At 51.5% G+C, this 21268-nt stretch overlaps 5 annotated features.

Moving 5' to 3' along the window:
* Nucleotides 11128-11724: an enhancer, noted in NCBI's record as "H3K4me1 hESC enhancer chr18:76483210-76483806 (GRCh37/hg19 assembly coordinates)". NCBI's record gives its function as "activates a minimal SCP1, AML or CMV promoter by ChIP-STARR-seq in primed H9 embryonic stem cells {active_cell/tissue: H9 hESC(primed)}" and the evidence as "EXISTENCE:reporter gene assay evidence [ECO:0000049][PMID:30033119]".
* Nucleotides 11128-13212: a biological region, named in NCBI's record as "VISTA enhancer hs1056".
* Nucleotides 11677-13212: an enhancer, noted in NCBI's record as "VISTA enhancer hs1056". NCBI's record gives its function as "enhancer in: neural tube[5/8] | midbrain (mesencephalon)[5/8] | forebrain[7/8]" and the evidence as "EXISTENCE:transgenic organism evidence [ECO:0001131][PMID:17130149]".
* Nucleotides 11725-12322: an enhancer, noted in NCBI's record as "H3K4me1 hESC enhancer chr18:76482612-76483209 (GRCh37/hg19 assembly coordinates)". NCBI's record gives its function as "activates a minimal SCP1, AML or CMV promoter by ChIP-STARR-seq in primed H9 embryonic stem cells {active_cell/tissue: H9 hESC(primed)}" and the evidence as "EXISTENCE:reporter gene assay evidence [ECO:0000049][PMID:30033119]".
* Nucleotides 13588-14508: an enhancer, noted in NCBI's record as "H3K4me1 hESC enhancer chr18:76480426-76481346 (GRCh37/hg19 assembly coordinates)". NCBI's record gives its function as "activates a minimal SCP1, AML or CMV promoter by ChIP-STARR-seq in primed H9 embryonic stem cells {active_cell/tissue: H9 hESC(primed)}" and the evidence as "EXISTENCE:reporter gene assay evidence [ECO:0000049][PMID:30033119]".

Below are 21268 nucleotides of genomic sequence, written 5' to 3'. Positions count from 1 at the left end.
TCTATGTAACATGTAGCATGCTACTTTACATGCCCACTATGTGGTTATAGAGACGCAACTTACATATATATTATATATATATTTTTATATTTACATATTTTTTGCCCCTTGATAAGAAGTTCTTGGGAGGGGACAATGACTGTAGCTCCTGCCCAGGAGCCCCGTCCCCGCGCAGTCTGTTCAGTGGCAGCTCCATGTGCGGGGCAAGTCCCAGACATCTCTGTTTGCTTGTCTGTAAAGGAGAAGCTGGACGATGTTCCCCAAGATCTTTCACTCGTGCTAAAGTCCTGGCCATCCTCGGCTCACGGCCTCCTCCACCCTGTTCTCAGATGATTCTTAAACGATCTTTCACTCGTGCTAAAGTCCTGACCGTCCTTGGCTCACAGCCTCCTCCACCCTGTCCTCAGATGATTCTTAAACGCAGTGCGTTTGGGCAGTTGGAGTCCTGTCAAAGACGAGGCCCCCGCCCACCCCCGGTTTGTGTGACCGTGCCAGGCAGTGCTGCGAGATGGAGCCCGGTGGCCGGGCCATGAGAGTCCTGAGGCTGTGAGAGAACGCTTTGTGGGAGGGATCTGTGGGAAACCGAGAGGCCATCTGTTCCCAAAGATGGGTGCGTTGCTGTCTTTTATGGCTTTTACCCAGAAAGCTTCTATTAGAGGGCGGGTGCAGAGTTAGGAGGAAGTAGGAAAGTCCCATAAAAATGTGACTCTTGTTTCACGATTATCAGCTGAAATCAGACTGGAAAATGGAAGCCAGGAGTTGGAATTTCGATGGGTGTGAACTTTGCCAGGTCTTGAATGGAATCGGATTTCCTGCTTGCACACGGCTCGGTGCATGTCCAGGTGAAAAGTGTGTGACACGCAGGTGCTTAGAAAGACCACGGCCTGCAGCCAGTGCATCCTGGCACCAAGGCCTCGGGGATTCTCTGGGCCTCTCGGAGCCCAGCTGTCCTTATCTGTGAGGCACCCCATTGCCATTCAGAACACAGGGCATGCAAAGCACTCAGCCCTGGAGCCCGGCATAGGCAGGTGTCAATAAACAGCAGCTGTTGTGATGATTGATTAAGAATCCATGTCTCCCTGGGTGAAATCTTCCGGTGAAACTGGGAACGCAGCTTGGAGCTTTCTTCGAACCCGCAGCATTTCAATATGTGTCTACACACCTTTGCTGACATTTAACGTAAACTTTCATGTCCATGTAAATTGTAGAAGCAAAATGTTTAGTTTGTCTTGTAGTTCAAGGAGGTCTCTGGGTGCCTGGATATGTCTTGTGGACAGGGGATAATTTTTGGAGCACTCACTGTGAGCCGCGATTGCATGTAGCACTCCATGGAGGCCTGGGAGAGAGAGGTTCCGTTTCTCCCTTCTGCACAGATGCAGATACTGAGTTCTCAGAGCTCAAGTGTGCAGCCAACATGTCTGAAAACTCGTCCTGAGCAGAGAGTGAGGGCGGAGGTGAAGAGTCTAGAGGGCAGCCAGTGCTAGGAGGGGCCGGAGGTTTAGATCATGGAAAGGACATTGGCATTTCTCTGGGTGAAGTGGAGAAGGTGGTAGGTTTAGAGCCACAGCCTGATTCACAGTGTAGAAGAATTGATTAGGCTGCTCTGTGGAAAATGGTCAGTTAAGGACAGGGGCCAGTCAGTGCAGGAGGCCAGTTAGGAGGCTGACGCCAAAACGCCAGTGTCTGAGTATGATTTGAAGATGGTGTTAGTGTTCTCCGGAGAGACAGAACCAACAGGTCCAGAAGTATAGGCTTATTAAAGGAATTGGCTCATGTGAATTTGGAGGCTGAGAAGTCCCAGCACCTGCAAGCTGAAGACCCAGGAGGGCCGATGGCTTGGGTTCCAGTCTGAGTCCAGGACCAGGCCAGTGTCCCGGCTGAAGGGCCAGGCAGGTGCAGCACCCATTTGCTGAGCCTTTCTGTTCTCTCCAGGCCTTCACCTGATTGCACGAGGCCCACCCATGTTGGGAAGGAGAATCTGCTGTGTGCAGTCTATCCATGCAAATGCTGATCTCCTCCAGAAACACCCTCACAGACACACCCAGAACAGCACTCCAGCAAACAGCTGGGCACCCTGTGGGCCCGTGGAGCTGACACACAGCATGAACCATGGGCCAGGGTCAGTGGCTCACAGATGAATCAGCTGTGGGGTGTGAAGGAAGACCAGGAGAACAGGGTGCTCCAGGGTGGGGGCCAGAGCCACTCACGGAAGACTGGGCTGGAAGTGAGCAGCTTCAGGGCTTGGTTCTGTATGCTGGGCATCTGGAAGATGTGCACGTGGGGGATTCTGGGGCCATGGGGCGTGTGGGCTGGGAGCTCAGAGCATGGTCTGGGCTTGAAGGTGTTAGTTTATGTCTTTGTCCCCTGTGAGAAGGGGCCGGCTTGGCTGCCTTGTGTTCCAGGCTTTGATGCAGTGCTTGAACGTGTTAGAGGATCCCCCAGAGTTGGTGGCAAATGAGGCAGGGAGGAGCGTAGGAAGCCAGGCCGAGGGTCCACGTCCAGGAAGGGACAGTGCAGGGCCCATTGGGCAGTTCCACTCTGCTCAGACCAAAGAGCAAGCAAAACCAAAAAGAGGTGGAGGGAGGGGGACGGAGGGGGAAGGCCAGACAGCACCTGCCTTGGGCAGAAAGTCAGTTCTTCTCCAAGGGGAAGTTTAACGATGTGAGTTTGGATTCTTGCATAACCAATTACCTCAAAACTTAGCACCTTAAAATAGCCATTTTATTTGGCTTTAAAGCAAAATTTTTTTCTTTTAATTAAACAAAAGTTGTTTTTAGAGTCAGGGTCTGTCTAGGTTGCCCAGGCTGGCCTTGAACTTCCATTTGACTTTTGTTCTCGTGGGTGAGGACCCTGGGGAGGGCTCTACCAAGCAGGTCCTGCCTGAGGCTTCATGGGTGTCGCTGGGCTGCTGTGGCAGCTGGAGCAGGCTGGGTGTCCCTGTGCACTGGCGCTGGAGCCCTGGGGCCAGCAGGGTGAACACAGCGGTCTCCAGCGTGGCAGTCTCAGGGTGGCTGGCATCTCTTGCAGCAGCCAGTGGGGGCATCCCAGAAAGACCACAGAGCAATTGCAAGGCCTTTTCTGGCTTGGCCCTGAAGGTCACACAGCATTGCTTCCACTGTCCCCATTGTGGCAGCAGGCACACACCCGCCCGGATTCAGGGCAGGGACGCAGACCCCACCTCCGATGGAAGGGGCAGGATGTGATTTGTGCTGAGAGGCGGAGGGTTGTGTGCAGCTGGGGTGGAGGGTGGGCTCCCAGCGACCTGCAGTGCAGGACTCGAAGCCGCTGGAGAGAGTGAGTGAGACGACCTGCCAGGCACCCAGCAGCCAAAGCCCTAAGTGCTGGGGCAGCCTGTGGGGAGGAGTGGGACCCTCCGCATCCAGCGGCAGCCGGCCCCGCAGGGGCTCCAGGTGATGAGCAAACCCACAGGGGACTAGGTTGGCTCCATGTGATGAGCAAACCCACAGGGGACTAGGTTGGCTCGTTTGCTGCTGCCCTTAGCACCCACTGAGCGCCTGTCACAAGGGGGTTCTCAGCAAATGGCCTGAGCTCACGATGGTGCCCTCTGATTGTGCGGCTAGGCTGACGTGACGTCCAGGCACCCAGGGGCTGAACAGTGCCAGGCTCTTGTGAGTCCAGCGTGAGAAGCACGGAGATGATCAAGATGGGTGCAGCACAGGCCCTGAACGCAGAACGCACCATGCAAGACACAAACGCTGCGGGGCTCTGCACGGGAGGCACCAGGTACGACGCTGGGATCTGCATAGGAGACACTAGGAACGACGCAGCGTTCCGCACAGGAGACACCAGGAATGCAGCAGTGTTCTGCACAGGAGACACCAGGCTCCGCCTCACAGACAGGCGGTGGGAGGGTGGGTACCAGTGCAGGGGGTGGGACGGGCACAGGGCTGCAGTTGTGGGAGGTGAAAAGGTTCTGCAGATGGACGGTGGTGATGGTTGAACAGCAACGTGTACTTAATGTGCTGAACTGTGTGCTTAAAAATGGTTAAACGGTCAATTTTATTCTATGTATATTTTACCACACTTTTAGGAAAGGATATAAAACAAACAAAACCACATCCTGGGACACCATCGTAAAAATAATTGAATCATAAGTCGCCTATCATGGCCGGTGCTAAGAATTACAGTGTTTGGGGGAGTGTGGGTGTCGGCATGGGCGTGTGTGTTATGCTCACAGGCTGCCTGGGCGTCCTGTAAGCTGCTGCTGTTTCTGCTGCTGGTGAACGTGGCTGGCTTCTTCCTGGCCATGCTCTGACCTGGCCTTCCTACATTCGTCAAAAAGCTGCACTGAAGACCTCTTGTAGGCGTTTTGCTGGACAATTTCAGGAAGCACAATGACAATGTATAAAAAGGTCAAAGTATTTGGCTGGATTTATGGGGCATTAAGAAACCACTGCAGTGGAGATGGTAGAATTAGGGAAGTCATTTCCGTGGGCACCGGGTAGGAGGCTGCTCTCAAGGTGAATGTGTGCGGCTTCCTGCAGAATGTCTGCAGAGCGACCCTGGGAGGTGCCTGCCACAGTCCCTCCTACCATGATGCTTCCTAATCAAGTGAGTTGGCAGCACACAGCAGACAGGAGCCCATGTGGGCATTTGAGTCTTTGGGGTTTAAGTAAGATAAATAAATAAAAAGCTTATGTTTCCAGTGATTCTCAGGGGAACTGTGATTGCATTAGATATGTATTAATGTATCTATCTATCTCCTAATCTAGCCGTATCAGTGAAGAACCGGCTCATCTCTAAGGGATGACTGATGCTGAAATGTGATAACCATAATTCCAATAGGTCAACCGCACTGATGAAGCACCAGGAGAGGCTGCAGTTGACACAGTGCACCCGGCGAAAGCGTAGCCTGATTTACTGGGAACTTTCCACCTTCCATGGCAGGGGAATCACTGCCAGTTTGGCCTTGTATTAAGAGATATAATTCCATAGGCTGGCATAGCTCAAAGGCACAAGCACCAATAATTAATCTGAATACAGAAAGCAAAAGAGGATGTGGGGAGGGTGGAATTCGATGTGGGGAGATCGTCACTGTAGCTGCTTCTCCGTCTTGCTAAAGCAACTGTCCAGACTGTCTATGAGCAAACTGTCTGAGCCTGAACCTGTATCCGCCAGATGCACCTGCAGCATGTGTGATCATGGAGGGTCAGTTTGCAAAGGATTTTAGGGGTATTACTGTTATGCCAAAGCTAATTAAATAAGAAAATCACCAGTAAGAGTTTCCAAGGTGGAGATGTTTTCCTCTGTTAATACCTCCGCAAAGTCCTCAGACATGTCCAGGAATGGCATTGATCAAACTAGCTTTAGCAAAACCATCTTCCAGCAACACGCATTTCACAAGCCAGTCCTGCTGTCTCCTGGAGCCCAGCCCTTAAGCTGCCAGACCAGGCCCCGGTTGTTAAAAACGGTAAAAACCACCTTTCTGAGAAATTAAACAATACAGCAAAGCATACTGCTACCTAACGCCGGCAATTAGAGAAGGAAAAATATTACAAATAGATGGAAGCACCTTTAAGTTCAGTCCTCCCTCCCCAAAGCCAGCCAGCGCCATGGCTTTATAACCCTGTGAGTGAGATTTGCTGGTCCATGTGTAGCTTCTGCAAGCTGTGGCATCCCTCCAGCGTTAGGGTTTGAAGAGCTCTCACTGTTGTGGGCTCTCTCCCCTGCCGCCCCCATGTTACTCAGGAAATTCTCTCACACGTGAACGCGCCCCTGCGTGGCTCCCGGAGATCCTGCTCACACGGGACGTGGATGCTGCACGTTTCCGGAAGCTCTAGCTGTTCCTTTCCTCTGTTCTTACATCACCATGACAATAGCATTGCAGAAGAGAACATCTGTGACCAAATGTGCGGGGATATCCCCCCCCCCCACTCAGCAGTGGACGCTGAGTTCCGACACTGTCCACTTGGAGATGGTGTCAGACCCACAGGTGAGGGCTCGCTCCTCAAGGCTGCCCCCGACTCAGCAGCGGACACCAGCAGGGTCCTCTGGCTAAGTTCTGACACTGTCGACATGGAGACAGCGTCAGATCCACAGGTGAGGGCTCGGTCCTCAAGGCTGCCCCCCACTCAGCAGCAGACACCAGCAGTGTCCTCGGGCTGAGTTCCGGCACTGTCACCTGGAGACAGCATCAGATCCACAGGTGAGGGCTTGGTCCTCAAGGTTGCCCCCCACACCAGTTGCAAGTCTGGGCTCCAGAACTTCTGACCAACCAGCTTCAAATTGGGCTTCCCATGACCCTTTCTTTGGGTTTGATTAATTTGCTGACGTGGCTCACAGAACTCAGGGAAACGCTTGTGTCAACTGGTTTATTATCAAGAATATTGCAAAGGATACAGGAAGAGGAGGTGTAGGGTGGTGGGAGGGGCGTGGAGCTTCTGTGCCCTCATGGGCGCTCCGTCCTTCAGGGGCCTTGGCGTGCTCAGCTCTCGGGAAGCTCACGGACTCCATCCTCTTGGGTTCTTACAGAGATTTCATTACATAGGCATGATTGACAGCCATGCAGAAATGGGAATGGACAAAACATGCAGTAACTAACCCTCGCAGGGCCTGTCTGCTCAGACTTACCCCGGCCTCTGTGCAAGTTCCTTCCTGCAGAGTGTGGGGCGGGACCCTCTCTGGAATGAAGATCTTTTGATCCACGATCAGGTTAGAGTCCTGCCTTGGGTCAGGCAAAAGAAGGACAGGAGACAGTCAGAGATTCTGTATCCCAAGGCCCACAGGGTCCCAGCATTATCGCAAAGGCTGCGGGAGTTGGGAACCAGGGCCTGTGGATGGAGACCACTGTGTCCCCTAACACCACCTGCCCTGTCGCTGCCTCCACGGCACTCCTAGGCCATTCTCTTTTGTCATGTCCTCAGCGACAAGGCGCATCCTCTGGTCAGAATCCTGGTGGCTGGCCCATCCTAAGGACGCCCCGCACTGGCCATTTAACGCAGCCAGGGGCCTTGGTGTGGGGCAGGACCACCACAGCCCTGCCTGTCTCCACGGAGCTCTGCCTTCTTGGACCCCAGGCCAGCTGCACAGAGCAGGATCTTCTGGCGCCAGCGTTTGGGGAGAGCACATTTCTCAGCTGGAAGGTATTTATTGATGGGCTCTTTATCACAGATGTCACCTGAGTAAAAATAATTTTCCAGGACTCCAGTTGGCTAAAACACAGAAGCCAATAATTCAATGCAAGGTGTCGATGGCCACACGAGAGTCTCCTGTTTTGAGAAGCGGTGCTCACTCTGTGAGGTGCTTATGGCCCCTGTTGTCCTCAGCATGTCAGGGAGCCCTGCCAGGCTGCGACCGCGCTCCTTGCAGCCTGGCAAATGGGCAAATGGCTACATTCCTGCCTATGCAGAAAGCCCCGCCAAGGCTGCGCCATGAGCCCCTGCTGAGCTGAAGGGTGGCAGTGTCCCTGGGACAGTAGGTGCACCACCCAAGGGGCCTGGGGTCTTGCTGGCCTGGTGTCTCCGCTGTTCCACCCATGTGCGCGCACGTGTGTTCACATGTAAGGAGCTGTATGTCTGGAGCCTCCTGCAGTGCAGATACCTTCTGGCTGTCATGTAAACCGCAAAAACGCTTCTATACAGCGACTGCGCGGAAGTCATAACCACTTTCCGCATGAAGAGGCAAAGTTCTGTTCCTTATTGGCTTATTTTTTAGCAAAGGCATCTCTGAGAAAGCATCCTCGTACTCCCGCAGCGCTCATGGCCTTGGATGTACCATGGGCCCGGCTCTCCCTATCATTCCTCGGGACCCCGATTCTCCTGGGCTTTGTCTGTGTTTTTCAGAAGGGAAAACACAAAGGGTCCTCATAACACTTAGCCCTTCCTCTGAGGGAGGTGGCAGGCGCCAGGCAGGCAAATCCAGGAGAGGGAACAGGGCCAAAGCCTCACGCCCATGGGCCTGGGAGGCGGGCAGCGCATGGCACAGGAAGGCCCCTTCCCGCATCCAGGCGTGGGGAGGCCGGTGGGTCCGGACGACCTGTGGGAGCAGGCAGGTATTCCTTGGAGAGACCAGTGCGTGGAAGTCTCCATGTGCACTGGGGTCTCCTTTTGCGCGCGAGTCTCCACGTGCGCGCGGGTCTCCATGTGCGCAGAGGTCTCCGAGGGAGTCTCCACGTGCGCTGGCTCGGGCTCGCCTTCCCCAGGGCTCCAGGCGCCCTCCTCCTCCCCTGGGAACGCTGTGGAAGGACCCCGGGACGCATCTGTCTCTTGGTCTTGTGGCAGTGAAGAGAGGAGTACGAGGTGGCAATGATGGCCCCAGACAGCCATGGGGACATGACGCTCGAGGAGTTTAAATTTAAGTCCCGGGAGAAGCGAGTGTGAGGTGCTGGAGTGCAACCTGGCAGCGCTGCCGGAGTGGCTCGCCTTTCCCACTGGTATAGATGTCTCTGCCAGGCCGGGAAAGAAAAGTGCAGGCGGGAAGCGAGGCAAGACCAGAAGGTTCTGGCGGGCAGTGGGCCTGGAGCTCGGGGGACAGCAGGCCTGGGCGGGCTCCGTGAGGCTGGGCACGGGGGCGGGAGCCCGGGTCCCGAAGGCCAAGGATGCGCAGTGCCAGGCCGGGCCCAGCGCCGAGGCTTCACCGGCCTGCTTTGCGCCATCACTCGGCTTTGAGTCCCTGTTATTAAGATGACAAGTGATGATTTTGAGAGCTGACCCTTGTCTCTCCCTTGAAAAGGACAAATAAAAAAGTAATTATGGATTTCTGCGTTTTCAGATATTGGTCCTTATTCTTACCCAGAGCTCAAAAGAGTTTTTCATGACATGGCTCATGGTTAGAAAATTGACATTCAGCTGATAAGAAACTCCTTGCTTTTGTGTTGGAAATAGTGAAGTTAACGCAGAAATGACGTCCAGCGCAGCATCTCTCCAGTATAACCCTGGAATTCCGAGTATGGACGTGAGGACGGGTCCGATTTGGGTTCTAAGATCTCCCTAATCTTTCCTTTCGGTTCTTGGGAGATCTTAGAAATGCAGACACGATTCTGAGACATCAGGTGGGGAAGTCTGGGGTTTCACAAACAGCGTATTGCAAAAACTGGAAGAAAAAACAAACCTGTTTCTTTCTTTCTTTTTTAATCCTCCCACACAGTTTCAATCCCTTGAAGAGAAAGATAATTAGTCATGGATCTCAGATTTGAGGCAATAAATGTTTTAAATGACTAAGAATAATTTATGTCTAGATTCCAAAATGGTCAGAAATGAAAGATCAAGAGGGCAGGCGTTTCAGCCACACAGCAGCGGTGGGATTGGAAGGGGAGGTGGTCTTGCAGGGAATGCAGTGTCCGGCCAGTCTCCACCGGAGGTGCCTCAGCAGCCCTGGTGGGGAACCCGCACCATCTGTGTCCAAGTTTTGATCTCAGGGAATGCAGCGTTGGGCCAGTCTCCAACGGACATGCCTCAGCAGCCCTGGTGGGGAACCCGCACCTTCTGTGTGCAGGCTTTGATCGTTTTGATGGTGATAGAAAGAACGTACATCTACTAATAATGTCTGAGAGCAAGTGCTCCTGAACAAGCTCTGTATTTGGGTGACTTCCTTTAACTTTGCAGATGCTTCCCAGAAGCACTTGACTCTGACTTTTAATTTCTAATTTGAGATACATTTTTCTAGTCTCATTTATTTCATTCTGATACCATCAGTGAATTTATGATGAACGCCACTTTCTTGGTGGAAGGATGAAGACTGCCTACATCTCAGGAAACTTGGAAAGAGGACACACATTTGGACACTTAAAATAAATCCACCTTGAGCAGTTTCATCAACCCCAGAGTCTCCCATTGACTTGGACTGGGCACAGTAGGTGTTTCCTGAGCACTTCCGTTTGCCTGACACCAACTCCTGCATCTTTGTGGTGTGTGATTCTCTGTCTTCTCCTGAGAAACCATCCCAGCATGCCACTTTCTAGATTAAATGTTTTGTCCCAGCTAATATCTCAAAAGCCATTGGCAACATTCGGCATCCCAAGTGAACAGGACATGGATGTGAGCTGGTGGAGATGCAGTTCTGGAACCACGCGGCAGCAGTAAATCTCCACGCTGTCGTACAATTTGGCGCAGCCCAATTTATTCATGGTCTTTAAACAAGGAGTGCAGAGGCACAGCCTGAGTGAATGCCAACATCAGCTAGTCCCAATGAGAGCTCAAAGCAGATTCTATCATTTTCTGGGGAAAAAAAAGAGGCAAAAGGAAGGGAATGCTCAAGTGACAGCCGGCACCCTGCCATCCTCGTCTGGGGGAAAAGAATTACTCTCCACCTGCCAGGCACTGGAGACAGTCAGCTCAGCCCCCAAGGGGTTCGGGCCCTGGCTGAAGTCGAATTTGTGCCTGGACCAAGCCTGCTAGGCACCAGAGGGAGGACGTCGGTCAAATTATATGCATTTCCTGGGGTCTCTGTTTCCTCATCTCTAAATTGGGATTAATAATCTTATTAGCAAAGTTGTTATGAGAGTTAAATGTAATAGTTAAATAAAATAAAAATAGTTTCATAAATGATACCGTAAACCAAATAAAAGTCAAAGCCCCCCCGGCCCCCTGCCTGCAACCATTTGAATGGACTTCCTCCTCGGCCAGGGCACCCTAAAATTTAACCTGAAAGACTAGTTCAGGCCAGGAAGAGGGGGTGGACATGCCTCATTGTACCCTCCAGCAGTAACATCAACACAGACCTTAAGTCTGATGAGAAACAGTCACAGTCTCTTCTCTCCGAAGCCTGCCACTTGCATGATAAAACCCGGGTCTGCACAACCCCTTACCTTAACCCAGACATTCCTTTCTATAGACAGTAACTCTTTCAACCAATTGCCAATCTGAGCATTTTTAAGTCTACCTGTGATCTGGAAGCACCCCGCTTCGAGTTGTCCGCCCTTCCGGATGGAACCAAAGTAAATCTTACATGTATTGATTGAGGTCTCGTGTCTCCCAAAAATGTATAAAAGCAAAAGCTGTGCCCCAACCACCTTGGCCACATGTCAGCCACCTCCTGAGGCTGTGTCATGGGCAAAATAAACTTTCTAAATTGACTGAGGCTTGTCTCAGATACTTTTTGGTTTACAATATAAAAAGGACGTAGTGCGCAATAAATCATAAACTGTAACTAACCCTAAAGCAATGATAACTCAACGAAGCTCAAGTACTACTAACCCACCTACCCCCTCGCCCCCCTACCTTCCCTGACTCCGCGCAGTGACAGATTACTTTCTCACTAGATTTGAGGGATGTCATTTTTTTCTTTCAAAGTGAGAATCCCATGGTAAGAGCTGATCCCTGGAACCAAGCACAGCTATGATTTACAGTTTCCCACACTCTGGGGTTGACGAACACACATCTTTGCTTGTGCAAGGCTTGTCCTGTTAACTTGACCTTCTAAGAATGCCCTTCTGTGTGTACACGGCTCCAGACTTGAGGCTCGGGCTGGCTGGTGGCTGCATCACCCTCGCTCGGTCCTGGGCATCAGACACACGTACCCTCCTGAGCCAAGGGGTGCTCAGAGCCGGCTTTTGCACCTTTGGCTCTATGGATTTTGTCTCTATGTGGTTCTTCTTTTAACTAATAATTCCTGAGCCTCACTTATGGTCAAATATCTTTTGTTTGAACACGTGGCTATGTGGAGCTTAAGAACATCTCCTCTGCTATTTGGAGGAAGAGTTGTGTTTGTGCCCCCGAAGATGCCTGCCTTGAAGTCTAAATATTTTGTCACTTAGGATTTCCTTCAGCCCCGACCCAGGTGGCTGTCCTCTTGGCTCCACGTCGCGCAGCCTGGGGCTGCCGGATGTCCCAGCACGATGCTCGGGCGCCCGCGAGAGAGAAGGGCAGATTGCAACTTGAACAAAAGTATATTTATGGAGCTTGCAAACTCCCTAATAGCTTTGAAATGAAGTTTCCTGAAGCCACATTCAAAGCTGAAGTAGGCAGGATTCTTTTTCATGGCATGCCTGAATTTAAAAACAAAAACAAACGAACAAACAAATAAATAAATTAAAGAAAAAAAAAAAAACCCTAACCTACCCAACACGCAAAGTTCAGGGTAGAAAAATTAACCCTGGGAAAATCTGGAAAAGCCTCAGATTATACGAGACATTCATCCTCAAGCTGATTTTTTTTTTTTTGTACAATCCTGTGTTGTGCTCCAAACACAAATCTGAGAATACTTCTTAAAGGGGAAAACAAAGCTCAGCCCGGCCATACATCTGTGAGTTTTGAAACAAAGGTTTGTTTGTGTGCCTCAATCACTCTCGCCCATGAAAGCAGACACTTACTTGAAAAACTTTTCAGGGAAACACTCTAAACCAACATCCTGGTATAAATTTGCAAAACGCAATACAGGCCTGATTGTTTTTGGAGTGGATGCAGGCCGCATACGAATAGCTCTTTCTGAAACGTAATGTTCTTTGCACGGCTCGGTGGCTAACGTACAATAAATCAACAAAAGAGCGCTTCAATAAAGCTATTGGGCAGCAGCAAGGCCACTGTTATTTTATCTTTTTACAGTATTTAATTGGAAGGTTTTTCCTGAAACTTTAGCCAGCCTTCAAATTACTAGACTCTATATAAGAAGAGATTGATAAGAGAAATTTTTTTCTTCCAGGATTTTTTCCTTACAAGAGAGCAAGTTTTTGCGGAGGGAGAATAAAGTTACAAGTGTCTAGCATTCTGCTGAGGGAGAATGAAATTAGATGCTGAATGGAGCGGGTAGGAAAGGCTGGGAAAATGCGAACTTGGCAGCGTCGCCAGGTCACTGCAGAGCCCCACTGTCCTCCGGCACCAGGTGTCCGCTGCATTCAAACGATACTATTATTCATAGACGGAGCAGAGCATTAAAACTCCCCCCAAAAATCATTTGCAACTGAATAAAGATATAATCCTGGAAATATAACTCTCCATTAAGGGCCCCATTAGCAACACAAGGGCCTCATTGTCAAGGAGTTATGTATATTTATCAAGTGAAAAAAAACTTGTCTTAGTGCTTACATGTTAATAGAAAACTTTTATAGCCCTGGTCTCAGAACTAGTTATGCATAAAATGTAAAGCATCTATTATGCTTTGGCAAACTCTTGAGCGTTTGACAGTGAATTGCTAATACACGAACAGTCTCCGGCGATGGACGGATAACGTCTTCCTGGCTGGCGCGGGGCTGCCGCGGAGTGGGCCGAGATGTGAGGCCTCCTAGCCCCCGGTTTAGTCCTGAGTTCTGTGAGGGACCCGGGGATCTTCTCCAAGGGCCTTGCCACCTTCTCCATGTCTGTTTCTGAAGCTGCTTCAGGGCAGGAGGTCCGTCCCTTCAGAATCTCCCTGTCAGGACACGGCTTTCTGCCCTCCTCTTCTTTCAGTCTTACTGCAGAGGGTTAGATGGGGTCTCCCTGTAAACGGATGAATGTGTGGTCGGGCGGCCCCACCACGGACCCCTGGTGAGCTCTGGCAGGGACCAAGGACGCCAGGCTGGGCCCAGGGGCAGTCTCCCTCCCTCTCCCTTCCCCTTCTGAAGCCCCCAGGCTGCATCCAGCCGACCCCAGCACAGGAAGGAATGCAAGGGATGAAGCCCTCCCCCCCTCCCCAGGAACAGGGGGAGCTACAGACAAGGAGTGGCTTCCACAGCTCCTCCAGGACGGCCCCTTCTCTCACAGGCTCTCTGCACTTTTGGCACTAGAATGTCATAAGTAGCAAAGTCCTGTCAAGATGTAAATGCCCCTGCTATAGTCTGGGGCCCACGTGGTGGCCGTGCTTAGGGCAGGCATCTGGTGTTAAGTTTGGGGCTTGTGGTCTCTGCGGTGGGTTTCACCCCCTCACTGGAGCTTGTTGCCCCCACAGGCAGTGCTGGGCGTGGGCCGCCTCACCAGGATTATGCCTGCATCCTTTTAAGGAAAAGAGCTGGACGTGAGAGGCGGACAGGAGGAGTCCTCCCAGGCCCAGGGATCCCTGCCAGGAGGAGAGCAGCCTGCGTGGGGCCCTTCCCCGTCCAACACCGGCTTCCCGGCGCCTCTGCCAGGGCTCCCCCGACTCTGCCCTGCTCCTCCTTCCGCGTCCCTCCAGCCTGGGCTTTGCTTGTCCCCTAAGATTCCTGTGACCAAGTCCTACACCCAGTGTCCGAGAATGTGAGCTGTGAATGTTGACAGAGCCACAGCGCAGTCACAAATGTTAAGAAAACTGCTGAACAGAGCGGGGAACGCCATGAGGAGATGGTCCTCGTGCTTGTGGGCCTCGTCATGAAAAACAGTACAAAACCCGCAGCCTGGTACAAGAAGCAGTCGGCAAGGACGTCGGCCCAGCACGGCCTGGCCAGCCTCAGATCAGCGACACCCTTATCCATCCTTGCAGCTGAGGAGAATCATTTCAAACAATGGCCTCATCCTTCGATGGTTTCCCTCAAGCCTTGGTCTTCCCTTCCTCCCCAAGCGTGCAGAGTCTGCTGTGGCGTGTAGGTGCCACGGCCACGCTCGGCTCTCAGTCCAACATCTCTCCTCTTAGAGAGCCTCTCTCTCTGTGTTTAGGTTGACAGGCCTTATCTGAAATAGGGACTTTGCAGATGATCAAATTGAGATGACATCATTAGGGTGGGCCCTAATCCAGTATGACTGGCGTCCTTATAGAAAGAGGTAAGTTGGAGCCAGGATGGATGTGCATGCGGGGAGAACACGACTCCTGAAGGTGGAATCGAGGTGCTGCTTCTACGTGCCAAGGAAGGGCAATGATCACCAGTGGCCACCAGATGCTGGGGAGAGGCCTGTGTAGGGAGGGAAGGTTTTCCTCAGCCATTTTAGGGGTCTTGGCTGGGTCTGAAAACTTAAAAAAAAAAAAGACTCTTACCCCTTTTCCTTGAATGAGCCCCACAGAGAGAGACATGAGGGGTTGATGTGGTGAGAACTCTCCCGCTGCCGGCCTTTGTCAGAGGTTCCCGAATTGCTGAACTGCCGCTTGCAGGCGGAGCAAGGCGCCTGTGCAGGCGTCGGGAGCCACTGAGGGAAAAGGCTGTCCCGGATTGTCTAGGGTTCCCACCTGGGTCTGAAAATCAGACAAAGACAGGTTAACAGGAGAAAAACCTGGAATTTAATTAATACGTTTTAATGACATGGAGGCCTTCATAACGGAATGAAGACACAAAGAACTGGGGGAGCCTGGGTGTTGTCAGGCTGGCTTAGATGAGGAAGTGCATGGCCCCAGACAGGTGTGATCACATGGTCATGGAGCGGGGATGCAGCAAAGCCTGTGTGTGCAGGTGCATCTCTCTGTCCCCACATCTTCCAAGCTAAGGATGTGTCTTCCCTGGCAGTGCAGTGGAGGCCATTAGGTCAGGAGGATCTTATAATTCGCTTCAGGGAAAGGCCAGAAAGTACCTGCTAGGTTTTATGACCTGCTTCTGTGGAAGAGGAGGAGAAGGTTGGGGAGTGACCTTCCTGCTTCTGCCCCATTCTTAAATGCCATATGTAAAGTGCCATATTTTGGGGCAGTGAGCCCTGAACCCCATCATGTAAAATACTTTCTCCTCCTCAGCGGCCAAATGCCAACCCTGCTAACACCCAGAGCTCAGATACGCAACCTCCAACATGACAGGAAAATACATTCCATGTTAAGCCATCAAGTCTGTGATACTCTGATGTTGCAGCCCTGGAAAACATATCCATGTCCCACACATTGACCGTTCAAGGGCCCGGCTCAAGGAGGTTGATGTGAAAGTCCTCATGGCAGGATAGACACAGGCCTTAGAAAAGCAGAGCTCGAATCCCAGAAAAACCCTTGCTCAACATAGACGTATCTGCGCTCTGTGAATATACCCTTCTTCTACATGAGAACATCCTGGCTCTACGTGGACAAAATCTTGTTCTACATGGACACAGCCTTGATCTCCACGGGCCCAGCCTTGATCTACGTGGGCCCAGCCTTGATCTCCACGGGCCCAGCCTTGATCTCCATGGGCCCTGCCTTGATCTCCATGGACACAGCCTTGATCTACGTGGGCCCAGCCTTGATCTCCATGGGCCCAGCCTTGATCTCCATGGGCCCAGCCTTGATCTCCATGGGCCCAGCCTTGATCTACGTGGGCCCAGCCTTGATCTCCACGGGCCCAGCCTTGATCTCCACGGACACAGCCTTGATCTCCACGGGCCCAGCCTTGATCTCCACGGGCCCAGCCTTGATCTCCATGGGCCCAGCCTTGATCTATGTGGGCCCAGCCTTGATCTCCACGGGTCCAGCCTTGATCTCCACGGGCACAGCCTTGATCTGCATGAACATATCCTTTCTCTACAGGGACACAGCTTTGCTCTGATAGGAATATCCTCGTTGTTGGACACACAGTGCTCTGCACAGACATTGTCTTGCTCTGCATAGATCCATTTTTATTCTACATGGTGTCATCTTTGTTCCTTGGACATCACTTTGTTATACCCATCTTTTCCCGTGTAGTGCAACATGGTGTGACTTGATCCTGATGGCCTATCCACTTTAATTAAAATTCACACCCGCCCCAAAACACACACCAGGGGAAAAGTGTGCTTTTTCTCTTTGAACATGTTTGCTTAAAAGCAAGGTGGAACATGTCACAGCCCATCGGACAAAAGGCCCTCACACTCCTTTATGTAATAAAATGAGTGGTTAGTGCACCCCCAGTTTAGCAGGGCCTCCTCTTGCGTCTGTGGGGCTGAGACGCATGTGCACGGTGCAGACAGCAGTGCTGCCCTGAGAACCTTCATCCAACCATGACAGACTCGTGGACACCACAGCCACGCTGGTCCCATGTTTGATTTACTGAGGTTGCCACAGAATGGGGCTTGTGGTAGGATCCCACCCTCCCCAAAACCTTGGTGGGGTGGCCAGCCCAGCAGGCTTTGCTGCATAGGGACCTTTAAATGTGATCATAGTCAATACCTAAAAGAGGCAGTGCTGCTGCACCTTAGCTCAGCCCATGCATTGGAACTGAGCGCAGCCCACCCTGCTGGGCCTGCTCTGTGTGCTGCCAGCACCTGGCACTGGAGTGAGGCATGGCAGAGTGCGCTGCATGTGGGCCACGTCCCCAAGTCACCCTTTGTGACACCCAGGCAGTCAACATGCTGATGAAAAGCTGTGACCGAGGTCTCCCACAAACAGCAGGAGGACATGCAATGCACCCGCCCCCCCAGTATGTCCTGGACATGGGTTGGGAGGTGGAGAACTGCGGGGTCAGTCATGGGCTCAGGAGGTAGAGACCCACGGTGTTGGTCATGGGCCTGGGAGGTGGAGACCCACGGTGTCAGTCATAGGCTCGGGAGGTGCAGACCCGCGGTGTCGGTCATGGGCTCGGGAGGTGGAGACCCACTGTGTCAGTCATAGGCTCGGGAGGTGCAGACCCGCGGTGTCGGTCATGGGCTCGGGAGGTGGAGACCCGCAGCGTCGGTCATGGGCTCTGGAGGTGCAGACCCTCGGTGTCGGTCATGGGCCCAGGAGGTGGAGACCCAGGGTATCGGTCATGGGCTTGGGAGGTGGAGACCCATGGTGTCAGTCATAGGCTCGGGAGGTGGAGACCCACGGTGTCGGTCATGGGCTCTGGAGGTGCAGACCCACGGTGTCAGTCATGGGCTCGGGAGGTGGAGACCCACGGTGTCAGTCATGGGCTCTGGAGGTGCAGACCCGCGGTGTCGGTCATGGGCTCTGGAGGTGGAGACCTGCGGTGTCGGTCATGGGCCCGGGAGGTGCAGACCCGCGGTGTTGGTCATGGGCTCGGGAGGCAGAGACCCACATGGTGTTGGTCATGGGCTCAGGAGGTGGAGACCCGCGGTGTCGGTCATGGGCTTGGGAAGTGGAGACCCATGGTGTCGGTCATGGGCATTGCTCTACCTGGTGAGAGGAATGTCTGCCTTTTAGATAGGTGCTCTGCCTTGAGAGACAACACTCTCTAATTCCTCTCCCTGCTAGCTGTTTAGTGCAGACACGGGCGTCTTCACTCCACTGGCACTCTTCAGCTTCTGCTGTTCCCATCCTTAACGTGTCTTGCATCCCTGTTCCTCTCACATGGTCCTCAGAAATGCAGTAACCTTGATTCCTGAGAGCTGCCACTCCGTTCCCAGAGGGAGGAGCAGGGATGGAGACCTAAGGGTGCCCTGGCCAGTGGAGTTGGAGGTCCAGACTGGGCCCGGACAGACCCACACGTTCGCGAGTCCTGACAAAAGCCACCGTGGTCAAATGCACGAGCACTCGAGGGCCAGCGCGGGCCGGAAGGAAGTCCCGCCACTCCCCGCCTTGTTCAGTGTTACAGGAGGTGAGAGCGGACATCATGGGAACCACATTTGTAAGGTCGCAGGTCCAGGCTCACCTAAGATCCAGGCAGCTGTAAACACCTCCCCTCATTCCTCATCGTCTCAGGTGTTGAGTGAATCATCCAAGACATCAAAGAAATCAGGCGCAGGGAGCATCCAGAGAACTGAAGAAAAAGAGAAAAGCAGTCCAGCTGCACAGGCAGAGCTCGCTAAAGCAGGTGAGAGGCTTTTTTTTTCCTTTATTTTCTTTCTCTCTCTCTCTCTTTTTTTTTAAGAGACAAGGTCTCACTGTTGCCCAGGCTGGTCTCAAACACCTGGGTCCAAGTGCTCCTCCTGCCTGGGCCTCCCCAGATGAGTGGCTTTTCGTGCTCAGGGCACAGGCCTGCTGTGTGTGGAGGCCTCTGGGTGTGGAGGGCCAGAAGCTCAGAATTCAAGGGGGAAGTGGTTTCAGACGTTTTAACTAGATTTTCAGTTTTCATTTTGACTGTTGCTCAGAGCTATTTGACCACTTGCCCACATTTGATCCGGATTCAAAGCCGGCCCGGAGGGAGGTGTTTCTTTTCTTCCACACTGCCTCCACCCTGAAAGCGCAATGCACAGGTGGCTAAAGACGTGGTGTAGGGATTTCTCTCATTATGAAAACATTCACTGGGCAGGATCTCAACGGAAAAACAAGTGCATTTTAAAAATTAATATCTCCTTTGGTGAACTGGTCACAAGAATATCAGAAAGGGTGGGGGTGCCAGGTGTGGTGGCTCAAGCTTGTAATCCCAGCACTTTGGGAGGCTGAGGTGGGCAGGGAACTTGAGGTCAGGAGTTTGAGACTAGCCTGGCCAACATGATGAAACCCCGTCTCTACTAAAAATACAAAAATTAGCTGGGCATGGTGGCATGTGCCTGTAATCCCAGCTACTTGGGAGGCTGAGGCAGGAGAATCACTTGAACTTGGGAGGTGGAGGTTGCAGTGAGCCGAGATGGTGTCACTGCACTCTAGCCTGGGCAACAGAACGAGATTGGCCAGTGGAAATGGTGGCACGGTAGAGAAATCGTGGGTCACGATCAAAATAACAGGTGCACACGGCATTCACTGCCATTTTCAGCTACTGTCTTCCGATATTTTCTTTCACTACTTCAAATACTTGAAGTTATTTGAGCCATCTTTAGCCTTTGCCAACTTTTTTCAAAATAGGAGTCTCTTTAGATTAGTGGGCATTATACATGACCTCAAAAAACAATTCTGCAAATATTCCATTGTCTGGTTTCTTGTTCTTTAATTCCTGCTGAATTAAGAAATGGCTTAAATAATGGCCTGTCCTTTGCAGTGGGCCCTGAGAAGCAACATGACTCTTGGCAGCATATCATAGAAAATAGATTTGTTAATTTGAAAAACGGTTTCCAGCAAATACATTTATTATAGTCCTATTTTCTAGTTTTGTATCAAAGAAGCATTTTCCCAGTATTATTATTTTAGGTCATTTAATACATTAAAAACACAATAAAGAATTTCGTGATCATTTGACCATAATGTGCATAGATTTTTAAGAGTCTTGGAAGTTTAATAATTTTGTATCAGAATATAGAGACAAAAAAAGCATATCTAAATCTCTCTCCACAGTAAATTTAAACTAATGACATACTTTTTATGATATGCAAACGTCAGATAACTACTTTTCAGAAAAAGTTCCTCTTGATCTTATTGTAACGATATTTTTAAATAGGGCAAGTTATTCTCTGAAAGGATCCAAATAATTTCAAACAGTTCAAATAATCTTTCTAGGTGTGACAGATAATTCCAGTTCTGGGTCCTCCGTATTCACACCCCTGGCTGGTATTACGCATTTCTGCCTTTCACCACAACCAAAGCAATGTGTGGGGTTTCCGTGCTCACTTTCTGTTCCTAGTGATCTGCTGGTTAAACCTCCTCCATCCTCTGACGCTCAGACAGTCCTCCCTCATGATCTGCTGGTGAAACCTGCTCCTCTGTCCTCTGACGCTCAGACAGTCCTCCCTCATGATCTGCTGGTTAAACCTGCTCCTCCATCCTCCAATGCTCAGGCCTCCCTCATGATCTGCTGGTTAAACCTGCTCCTCCGTCCTCTGACACTCAGACAGTCTTCCCTCATGATCTGCTGGTTAAACCTGCTCCTCTGTCCTCTGACGCTCAGATAGTCCTCCCTCACGATCTGCTGGTTAAACCTGCTCCTCCGTCCTCTGATGCTCAGACAGTCCTGATGGTTCCCCACATTATTCCCCCTTTCTTTGCCTGGTGGAAGGAATCGTTTTTAGTTAGGACTGTTCCATTTAAAATTAGTACTTGGACCAGCATTATTTCAGTCCTTCAGAAAGAATACCTCCCTATCAAAATAAACGTTTCCACTGAAAATGTGTCTGGGAAGCTTGACCCACGAGCAGCCGCCGGCACTTGGGAGCTCTGCAGTTCCTCTGAGTCCTTGCAGCCTTGATCAAATAAAACAGGCAGGTGCAAGTTATAGGAGTTACCCATTATTTATGGCTTTTAGAAACTTTGTGGGTTTAGCTGGTGAGAAAAGTTTTATTCCACTCACATGGACAAAACCCAACCGTCTGGGCTGATTGAATTCACATTGTTGCACGGGCACATGGCCGGCAGGAGAAAAATTATGAAATCTCAGGGCCTGTGCCATGGCAACTGGGCAAACAGCCCCTGGGAACAATGTGGATAATAGGAAATCGCAATATTTCTCTTTGTGTTTTCACTGCTGACAGTTTTATCCTTACATCTGCCCCATGTCCGGCGCAGGGTGGTGGACCGTCTGGGGCCACTCTCCCTCTCTCCCTGTCTGCTCTCCTCAGTGGCCGTTCCCTCATGGGCACAGCAAGCTGCCCGGAAGGTACTGCAAAGCCTATTTAAGTTTCAAAGACACAGGCAAGGAAAGTTTACCTTATGAGTGACTGAAGATGGGGCAGTCAGAGAGGCTGCAACCAGCCATTTACATGAATCTGATGTCGTGGCATTCTGGCTGTTTATTTACCAAGATGCTGCTGCATCAAAG

The sequence above is a fragment of the Homo sapiens genome, chromosome 18 (genome assembly GCF_000001405.40).
Source record: "Homo sapiens chromosome 18, GRCh38.p14 Primary Assembly".
Taxonomy (NCBI): Eukaryota; Metazoa; Chordata; class Mammalia; order Primates; family Hominidae; genus Homo; species Homo sapiens.
The sequence above is the reverse complement of the archived record's forward strand: the minus strand, read 5'-3'. Positions and strand labels throughout refer to the sequence as shown.